Raw genomic sequence first — 10,649 nt, 5'->3', positions numbered from 1 at the left:
ATTTTTATATTTTTAGTAGAGACGGAGTTTCACCATGTTGGTCAGGCTGGTCTCAAACTCCTGACCTCCAGTGATCTGCCCGCCTCGGCCTCCCAAAGTGCTGGGATTACAGATGTGAGACACCATGCCCGGCCTGCTTCACAGTTTCTATGGGTTAGGAATTTGGGGGTGGCTTAGCTGAGGCAGGAAGGTCCACTTCCACCATGGCTCACTCAGATGACTTGACAAGAAGCCTCAGTTCCTCTCTGGCTCTTGGTAGAAGCTCAGTTCCTCAACAAAGGGACTTTCTTTTTTCTTTTTTTTCAATTTTATTTACTTCTTTTTTGGAGACAGGGTCTCACTTTGTCATTTAGGCTGGAGTACAGTGGCGTGATCATAGTTCACTGCAGCCTCAAATTCCTGGGCTCAAGTAATCCTCCTACCTCAGCCTACCAAGTAGCTGGGACTAAAGATACATGCCCCCATGCCCGGCTAATTTATTTTTATTTGTTTGTAGAGATGGGGTCTCACTGTTGCCCAGGCTGGTCTCCAATTCCTGGGCTCAAGCAGTCCTCCTGCCTGACTCTCCAAGTGCTGAGATTTGTGTCCAGCCACAAAGGGACATTTTCATAGGGCTTCCTCAGGACATGACAATGGGCTTCCTATAGTGAGCAATTCAAGAGAGCAAGGAGAAACCCACAGTGTCTTTTGTGACCTAGTCTTGGAAGTCAACCACCAGCAATTCTGATTCTATTCATTAAACCAAGTGACCTCAGATGATCAGCCAGCCAACGTGCTGGGATGACAGGCGTGAACCACCATGTCTGGCAAGAAATTTTGTAATTCCTTTAAGTGTTATCCTTAAAAACAAGTGATTGATTATAAAAGTTGTATTTCTTCATCCTAAAATTGGTAAAAAATAAAAAAAAAATGTGTTTAGTTTCTACTATGCATTTAGTTTTTTTTTTTTTTTTTTTTTTTTTTTTTTTTTTTTTTTTTTTTTTTGAGACAAAGTTTTGCTCTTGTCACTCAGGCTAGAGTGCATTGGCACAATCTCGGCTCACTGCAACCTCTGCCTCCCAGGTTCAAGAGGTTCTCCTGTTCAGCCTCCCAAGTAGCTGGGATTACACCACCACGCCCGGCTAATTTTTGTATTTTTAGTAGAGACAGGGTTTCACCATGTTGGCCAGGCTGGTCTCAAACTTCTGACCTCAGGTGATCCACCCGCCTCAGCCCCCCAAACTGCTGGGATTACAAGCCTAAGCCACCATGCCCGGCCCTTTCATTTAGTTTCTACTATTCATGTACACATGTACCCTGTTTTACCCACAGACAACTGTGCTAACCGTTAAGAATGTCCCAGCCTTACTAAGATTTTCCTAAGTTTGTCTCCCAGACATTGGGAACTCAAAGGTGAAGAAACTTAGGTGTGAAGGTGGATTGTGGATTCAGACCTCCTTACTTGGAGGCCAGTGCAGAGACACACCAGCAGAGTAACCTCGGGTACATGGCTTCACCTCTCCAAGCCTCACACTCCTCATCAGTAAAGCGAGGATTAGTGGAACCTACCTGTTGGCTTGTTTTGATGATTAAATGAGATAATGTCCGCGAAAAATATTTAGCAGATAAATGTTCACTAAATTTTGAGCTTTAAAAAAATGTTTTACCAGCCAGGCGCGGTGGCTCACGCCTGTAATCCCAGCACTTTGGGAGGCTGAGGCCGGTGGATCACCTTAGGTCAGGAATTCGAGACTAGTCTGGCCAACATGGTGAAACCCTGTCCCTACCAAAAATACAAAAATTAGCCAGGTATGGTGGTGGACGCCTGTAATCCCAGCTACTTGAGAGGCTGAGGCAGGAGAATCGCTTGAACCCAGGAGGCGGAGTTGGCAGTGAGCGGATATCTCGCCGCCGCACTCCAGCCTGGGCAATAGAGTGAGACTACATCTCAAACAAACAAACAAACAAGCAAACAAAGTTTAACTGAAAAGTCTTTCCTGACACCTTTTCGCTACTGAAAATCTTACAGCCCCTCCCGGCCGCAGCCTACACTCCTTCGGCCCAAGCAGGTGCGCTGGAACCGGCAGTTGGTGAGAAGCCGGCTGCCGGCAGCCCCAACCCTTAGCGGCCCCGCGGTCAGGGACCTCCAGGCCCGATGGAGAGTCGGGGCGGGCTAGTGGATGCGCGGCGGGGACGGGAGGTGTCGCCGCTCCGGCTTGCCGGTGACAGGGGCGGGCGGGTCGTGCGCGGGCCCCACCTCCAGCGATCGCAGCCCAGCCCCAGCTCCTCCTCCTCCACGGCTTACCCGGGCTCCGACAGCGGCTGCAGGTCTCCAAGTTGCGGCCGCTGGAGCCCGAGCCATGCGGACCGCGGACCGGGAGGCGCGCCCGGGGCTTCCGTCCCTGCTGCTGCTGCTGCTGGCCGGGGCCGGGCTGTCAGCCGCCTCGCCCCCAGCAGCGCCGCGCTTCAACGTGAGCCTGGACTCGGTCCCCGAGCTGCGCTGGCTGCCCGTGCTGCGGCACTACGACTTGGACTTGGTGCGCGCCGCGATGGCGCAAGTCATCGGGTGAGCTGGGGCCCTGGACGGGGTCTGCGGGGACACCGGCCCTGCGGGTCGGAGTCAAACGCGCGCTGCTCAGAGTGCTTTAAACGGGGACGCTTTACTCCCCGCCACCCTTGGAGAACTGGTTTTGGCTGCCGCCCTGAGCAGCGTCCGGGTTGGGGAGAATCCAGCGCGGCAGGTTCGGCTTTCAAGTTCGGTGTCACCCGTGGCACGCCAGTCCTTGAGCCATTCCGGGTCAGCGTGGCGCGCGAGTTGTCGCCCGGGCTGCATAGCTACCAAGGAGGGGCAACCCGCGCCTTCCTTGCGGGCCTCGCGGGCCTTCCAAGCTTGCCCCTTTGGGACCAGCCTCACTCGCCCTCCCCATTCGGAGTTTTCTTACCCGCCGCCTTCCCCCCGCCCCCTTCCCCCCACTCCCGGGAGGCTGCAGATTGAGTGACGCCGCGCCTGGGCGGTCCACTGACTGGGGAGCAGTGGCCCTGAGACCTCACGCCCTAAGGATGTAGCCCCGCTCGCAGTGCACACGCAGTCGCACGCCGCCGACCTCTGAGCGGGTCAGACGCCCTTGTGCTTTTTGTTTCTAGGGACAGAGTCCCCAAGTGGGTGCACGTGTTAATCGGAAAAGTGGTCCTGGAGCTGGAGCGCTTCCTGCCCCAGCCCTTCACCGGCGAGATCCGCGGCATGTGTGACTTCATGAACCTCAGCCTGGCGGACTGCCTTCTGGTCAACCTGGCCTACGAGTCCTCCGTGTGAGTGCCCCAAGCCCGCGCGGAGTAACGCGGGGCTTGCGGGGGCCCCCGACACAGACTAGCGGGAGGAGACATATTTTCCGTGTGATAAAAACAGGGCGGTGCCTGCTTGCCTAGAAACCTCCAGCGCTTCCTCTTTGCCTCTCTGGGTAAATCTGAGCTGCACATCGTAGGCTTCGAGAGGGAAAGCAGATTCTCCGATTCAACACTAAACTTTCCCTCTACGTGTAGCCCCGGGTTTTCTCTTCCCCAATCCAGGTAGCGTACTTTTAAAATTCTGCTCAAAGGCCGGGCGCGTTGGCTCACACCTGTAATCCCAGCACTTTGGGAGGCCAAGGTGGGCAGATCACGAGGTTAGGAGTTCGAGATCAGCCTGGCCAACATAGTGAAACCCCGTCTCTACGAAAAACACAAAAAATTAGCCAGGCGTGGTGGTGGGCGCCTGTAATCCCAGCTACTTAGGAGGTTGAGGCAGGAGAATCACTTGAACCCGGGAGGCGGAGGTTGCAGCGAGCCGCGATCGCGCCACTGCACACCAGCCCTGGCGACAGTGCGAGACTCTGTCTCAAAAAAAAAAAAAAAAAAATTCTGCTCAAAACGTACTTTTCCAGGAAGTTTTTGAAACTAAGCCTCCTCTCATCTGGACCCTTTAGTTAACTCAGTGGCCTTCCAGCTCTATACTGGCAGTGGCTCATCTCTGCCCTTATTTGTCGCCCTGCATTTATCCTTTCATGTGTGTCGTGGCTGAAGTGTCTGTGTCCACCAGGGCTGGGGCGACAGGGAACACTGCTCTAATAGGGCCAGCCAGTGTTTGGACCGGGAAGTGGGCATGATAAAATGTGCATCCAGGCTGGGCGCGGTGGCTCACGCCTGTAATCCCAGCACTTTGGGAGGCCGAGGCGGGTGAATCACCTGAGGTCAGGAGTTCAAGACCAGCCTGGCCAACATGGTGAAACCCCGTCTCTACTAATAATACAAAAAAATTACCAGGGCCTGGTGGCGGGCACCTGTGAATCCCAGCTACTTGGGAGGCCGAGGCAGGAGAATCACTTGAACCCAGGAGGCAGAGGTTGCAGTGAGCCAAGATGGCACCATTGCACTCTGCAGCCTGGGCGACAAAGCGAGATTCCATATCAAAGAAAAAAAGTGCACCCAGAAGTGAAAGCAACATGGAGTGTGTGGTTGATCCCAGGCAAAGTGCAGGGGACCACTAAAGGTTTATGGGCTCAGTAATAGGCCCTGGAATAAAGAGAGGTTTTGACTTGGTTTCTTCCTTCAATACTTATTGTTTTGCCAGCAGACTAGCTTCATCTCGTAACCTCTTGTACATACTTAGAGCTTCTTGCTGCCTAAAGATGATGGGGGTAGAAAAGATCTTGGAATAATGAAACTTTACTGGCCCAGGCATTTTCCCAGAACACCTAGGCAGAGTAAGCTAAAAAGCACTGGGACTGCCTTCCTCTTCAGGAAATGCTTTCAGGCACAGAAAAGACACAGGCCTGCTAAATAACATGCTTTTCAGTTGAACTAAGTTATTATAATTTTACCACCTCCCTCTCCTACCTCCAACTTTTTCCTATTTTTAACTTACAGCTTTCTCAATGAAAAATCACGAATCATTTTTACCCTCATCTGTTGGAGTCACCATATTCAAACACATTAAAGCAAAAGTTCTAGTAAAAACATTCTAACTTTTGGATTTGATACTAAGGTATTTATTGAATTGCCTAATAGCACCATTCAATTCACTAGCATTAACAAAGGAAATGCTTTCTTCTCATGTTGGAAGTAAGCCTTCTTGAATTAGAATAATACTAGCTACCCTTTATTGAGCCTACTGGGTGCCAGGCACTTCATGAACACAGTCCCGTGGGGAAGATGGTATCATCTGTTTTGTGATGTGGAAACCAAGCCTCAGTGGGGCCACCTTGCTGGAAGTCAGGTGGCTGGTGAGTGCTAAAAGCATGGGAATCTCCAGTTCGCTGCAGTGCCTTTCAAAGCAGAGCCTGTTTCCTCATTTGTCTCCCATGCTTGTGCACTGCTGCATCACACTACAACATTTGGGCCTGAGATGGAAGTATTGTTATCTTGCCAATTTTGAAAAATCGCCTCTGAGAGAGATCCCACAAACTTTGCTTTAGTACTTCCCATGTCTTACCAGTCCCCTCCCTGACCTGAACTCTTTGAAGTTAAGCTCAGAAACCTTGGAGGGTGGCCGGCCACAGTGGCTCACGCCTGCATTGCCAGCATTTTGGGAGGCTGAGGTGGATGGATCTCTTGAGCCCAGGAGTTCGAGACCAGCCTGGGCAACATGGTAAAACCTTGTCTCTACAAAAAATACCACAAAATTAGCCGGATGTGGAGGCTTGCGCCTGTGGTCCCAGATACTCAGGAGGCTGAAGTGGGAGGATCGCTTCAGCCCGGGAAGTCACGGCTGCAGTGAGCCGACATTGCACCACTGCACTCCAGCCTGGGTGACAGAGACTCAAAATAAATAAATAAATAAATAAATAACAGAAACCTTGGAGGGAATTAAAACTGACCAAGTTTCCGTCTTTATTTTATTTTATTTATTTATGTTTGAGACGGAGTCTCACTCTGTTACTCAGGCTGGAGTGTAGTGGCACGATCTTGGCTCATCGCAACCTCCGCCTCCCTGGTTCAAGCGATTTTCCTGCCTCAGCCCCCCAGATAGCTGGGACAACAGGTGTGCGCCACCATGCCCGGCTAATTTTTGTATTTTTAGTAGAGATGAGGTTTCACTATGTTGGCCAGGCTGGTCTCAAACTCCTGACCTCATGATTCACCCACCTTGGCCTCCCAAAGTGCTGGGATTACAGGCATGAGCCACTGTGCCCTTGCCCAGCCCAAGTTTCCATCTTAAAACAAACAAACAAAAAGTAACACTTTTTTCCCCAATTATAAAAGTAACATGTAATCGTTGTAGAAAATCAGTAAATGTAGAAAAGTAAAAAAACAAAGCTAACCACCATCCTGTTATTAAAAAATGACCAGAAAAACCCTTCAGGATATTTTCTCTCAGTTTTGTTCATGTGGATATACATATTTTTCCCTCTGGTATTGGACATACTGTATATAAATATTTTTTCATGTACAGTTAAATATTCTCAGAGAATATGGATAGATACTTAACAAGCCTCCTCCTCTTTTTCTCACAATACTTCTGTTCATAGAGATTCCCCCTTTTTTAAAATTATGATCTCTGTGCAAGGAGCTGGAGAGAGAAAGGAAAAGTGCCAAGTCCCTTAAGAGCCAGCCATTTTCCCAAGGGGACAAAATGAAACATTTGTGAAACAATGGTTTAGTGTTACTTTATTTGCTCTGAGGAATTCATATATGGAGAGGTGAGCTTGAGCTGGCTTTGAATCATGTGTTAAATAGAATACATGCTGCCATGCAGAGGAAAAAGCAGAGTTCAGAGGTGTCCTGAGCCCAGGATGGGTTAGTTTCACTTCAGATTTAGACTGAGGATGAAATTCTCACTTACTATGCTTATGATGCCCTCCATGTGTGCTAAGGGTAAAGATCCTAGAAACACTGAATGAACACAGATGAGTTGTATCCAGTTGTGTTTTTCATCTTGAATTGTTAATCTATATTCTTATACAAGCATTATAGCACATATATCAGTTATAAGGAAGAAAAACTTTTACTTTGAGGATTTGTTTTACAAATGAAAAACTCCTTTTCCTTTTTTTTCTTATTTGTCTTATTCATTCATGTTGGACTTTTCCCTTTTCTCAGGTTCTGCACCAGTATTGTGGCTCAAGACTCCAGAGGCCACATTTACCATGGTCGGAATTTGGATTATCCTTTTGGGAATGTCTTACGCAAGCTGACAGTGGATGTGCAATTCTTAAAGAATGGGCAGGTATAATCCGTACCATATAAGATAAAAAATCAGAAAGATTTGCAAACTCAAGTTAGCAGTCATTTGGATGGCCTGCTAACTTAAGTGTGTTATCAGTGTAAGACACAAAAAAATCACACCCCTGGAAAAACAAAGCCAGAAGAGAGGTTTGCATCAATTATGCTTATAGGAAGGACGGTCATTTATTATTTATTATTCAGTGTCTACTTAAAGAGGTCACCCAGTTTTCCATAGGGAAATCTCTTTTAGAGAGTGATCAATCATCCACTTATGCAGAGTCAGCTCTTTCCTCTGCTTTCCCATGCCCAGGCTGCTTCTGGAATATGGAGGGGCTGGGTAGTGCAATAACTAGAAACACCCAACTTTGGGATCTGACAGTCCCAGGTTTAAATCTTGATTCTATCAATTACTGTACTTCCTTTGTGAACCTGAGAAATTACTCATTCCCTAATTTTGCAGACTACAGCTCATGGAGGCTCATAACTACTTTACTGCGATAGTTATAAATGTTAAATGAAGTAGTCTATGTAAAGTTGTAGCCAAATAATAAATGGTCCTTCATTCTGCAAGTGTGATTGACCCACACCACTTTCTTGTGTATGATCTTTAAAAAATTATACTTAGATCTTTTGTTTATAGCATGGTCCCTTTAAAACTATAATCTAGTGTGTGCTGTTGTCAACTGTGTAAACTTTTAGAGAGACAGAATTAATCAATGTTCATTGAGTACGCAAAGCATGTTTTGCTGTAAAACAGAATACAGAGTGCAAAAGCCAGATTTTGGCTGTAAGGACAAGGACTATATTCCCTTTGTTCTTTGCATTTAGGGGTTGATTCACAAATACTAAAAACTCATTTACTAACTACTCAGTCATCTGCTTTTACAAACACTTTTTTTCATAAAAAATTCAAACAGTACAGAAATATTTAAAGTAAAAGTTTCTCCTTTCCAGTCCCATTTCTTTACTTTGCCACTATTAACAATTTGATTTCTAGCTGAATTACTTTAAAAATGATTTTAAGTGGTAACGATAATATAAATGCATAATAAATTCTCAAAGGAAATCTGCTAAATATTAAGTTATTACTGAATGAAGGATAATATTATTTATTATTTATTCATGTTTTTTCTCCATTGTTCTATAATGAGCTAATACTCTTAATAAAGAGACAAAGGAATAAATGCAATGAAAATAAATTATTTCAGCTGCTCTGAAACTCACTCTAATAGTTGTTGCTTCATTTGTTTTTGTTTTTCCTGGAGTTCCCATGAAATAATCTATAGAGAAATAGTCTGTAGAGGTAGTTTTACTCTCAGTACTCAGGTGACTGTTACTGAATATAGACAGTTTACACTTGGGTATTGCTTTTCTATGGAGGACTCATGGCCAAGAAATTGTTTTATGAAATTAAGAACAGGTTATCCACAAAATAATTCATCTCTCATTCTTGTCTAGTGTTTGTAATCTTAAAAGTATTTTTGGCTGGGCGCGGTGGCTCACGCCTGTAATCCCAACACTTTGGGAGGCCGAGGCAGGCGAATCACGAGGTCAGGAGTTCAAGACCAGCCTGGCCAATGTGGTGAAACCCCGTCTCTACTAAAACTACAAAAAAAAAAAAAAAAAATTAGCTGGGCGTGTGGGTGGGTGTCTGTAATCCCAGCTACTTGGGAGGCTGAGGCAGGGGAATCGCTTGAACCTGGGAGGCGGAGGTTGCAGTGAGCTGAGATCGCACCACTGCACTCTAGCCCAGTGACAGAGTGAGACTCCATCTCAACAACAACAACAAAAGTATTATCATACACAGGACCTCATTCGATCCCCCCAGCAGCCCTGTGAAGCAGGCATAAGTCAACATTTTAATCTTTACTTTCTAGATGAGGGGGCCCAGCTTCACAGAGACTGACTTGCCCCGAATCACAAGGCCTCTAGAGACATGGCAGAGGTAGGGCCAGAACCCAGGCGTTAGGCCTACTGATAGTTTTTGTTTACAGCCTTAATTAGGCTGTAAATTATTATTATTATTATTATTATTATTATTATTATTATTATTATTACTACTACTATTGTTTTTATTTTTGAGACAGAGTCTCGCTCTATCACCCAGGCTGGAGTGCAGTGGCGCGATCTCGGCTCACTGCAACCTCTGCCTCCCATGTTCAAGCAATTCTCCTGCCTCAGCCTCCCAAGTAGCTGGGACTATAGGAGGGTGCCACCACACCCGGCTAATTTTTGTATTTTTAGCAGAGATGGGGTTTCACTATGTTGGCTGGTCTTGAACTCCTGAGCTCAGATAATCCACCCGCCTCGGCCTCCCAAAGTGCTGGGATTACAGGTTTGAGCCACCGCACCAGGCACCAGGCTGTAACTTAAAATTCCCTGCTAAGGGTTTGTTTATGTTAACTGACTAGGCAGAAACAACTGGGAAGTACAAACAGAAGTAAAGACAGATTTTCAGAGCTGCAAGATAAAATATCTTACAAATTATATCTCAAAATTATTTATAATTATGTATCGTAATTGAAAACTACGATGTGACTTTTGATCTCATAACTTCAATTTTCTCAGCCCTCCAAGAGTGACCCTGACGATCACGGTGTCACGCAAATGAGGTGGCCATATAATTACTTTTTATTTTCCATATAATTACATTTGAGTAGTAAGGAAGACTTATTTCTGCTTTACCACCATGCGTGGAGATGAGACATTCATGGAGGTCCTCAGTAAGTCTGAGGGCTGAGGTCATTTATAAAGCTAAGGACACTGCATTCTCCCTTGTAATTCAGCCACCTTAAATTATTTTTACAAGCAGATAAGGTAAAAATAAATAATTAAATGAAAAACATTACTGACCTAATTTTTCTAAGGAAAATATCAATCTAGGACTATCTATTTCTTAAAACATAATGGTATTAGTTAACTTTTATTGAACAGTATGAGTCAGATACTGTTTTAAGTACTTTTTTTTTTTTTTTTTGAGACAGAGTCTTGTTCTGTCACAGGCTGGAGTGCAATGGTGCAATCTTGGCTCACGGCAACCTCTACCTCCTGGGTTCAAGCGATTCTCCTGCCTTAGCCTCCCGAGTAGCTGGGACCACAGGTGCGTGCCACCACACCCAGCTAATTTTTGTATTTTTGGTAGAGTTGGAGTTTCACCGTGTTGGCCAGGCTGGTCTTAAATTCCTGGCCTCAAGTGATCCGCCTACCTTGGCCTCCCAAAGTGCTGGGATTACAGGTGTGAGCCACCATGCCTTGCCAAAGTACTTCTTTGAAAAATAAAATTTGGTATCAGAAATAACTGATAAAGGCTAGCTGTGGTGGCTCACACCTGTAATCCCAGCACTTTGAGAAGCCAAGACAGAAGGATTGCTTGAGCCCAGGAGTTTGAGACGAGCCTGGGCCACATAGGGAGACCCTGTCTTTAGGAAAAGCAAAAAAAAATTTTGTATATATTTATATATCAGTCAGGT

At 46.1% G+C, this 10,649-nt stretch overlaps 1 protein-coding gene across 13 annotated transcripts in view, besides 2 other annotated features; it reads left to right on the top strand.

Annotated features, from left to right (window-relative positions):
* Positions 2,054–2,523: a silencer, noted in NCBI's record as "silent region_15484". NCBI's record gives its function as "represses an Ori minimal core promoter by ATAC-STARR-seq in GM12878 lymphoblastoid cells {active_cell/tissue: GM12878}" and the evidence as "EXISTENCE:reporter gene assay evidence [ECO:0000049][PMID:35858748]".
* The window catches only part of NAAA (N-acylethanolamine acid amidase), a 30,359-nt gene continuing 21,985 nt past the window's right edge, over positions 2,276–10,649 (top strand). For all 13 annotated transcript variants that reach the window (NM_001042402.2, XM_006714180.4, XM_005262924.4 and 10 more), the window contains exons 1-3: positions 2,276–2,545; positions 3,124–3,288; positions 7,054–7,180. In NM_001042402.2, coding sequence (NP_001035861.1) covers positions 2,340–2,545; positions 3,124–3,288; positions 7,054–7,180 — 498 coding nt within the window. In that variant the 5' untranslated portion in view covers positions 2,276–2,339. The remainder of the gene's footprint in view (positions 2,546–3,123; positions 3,289–7,053; positions 7,181–10,649) is intronic.
* Positions 2,924–2,993: a silencer, noted in NCBI's record as "silent region_15483". NCBI's record gives its function as "represses an Ori minimal core promoter by ATAC-STARR-seq in GM12878 lymphoblastoid cells {active_cell/tissue: GM12878}" and the evidence as "EXISTENCE:reporter gene assay evidence [ECO:0000049][PMID:35858748]".

This window comes from Homo sapiens, chromosome 4, assembly GCF_000001405.40.
Source record: "Homo sapiens chromosome 4, GRCh38.p14 Primary Assembly".
Taxonomy (NCBI): domain Eukaryota; kingdom Metazoa; phylum Chordata; class Mammalia; order Primates; family Hominidae; genus Homo; species Homo sapiens.
This window is presented reverse-complemented; position numbering and strand designations above follow the sequence as displayed.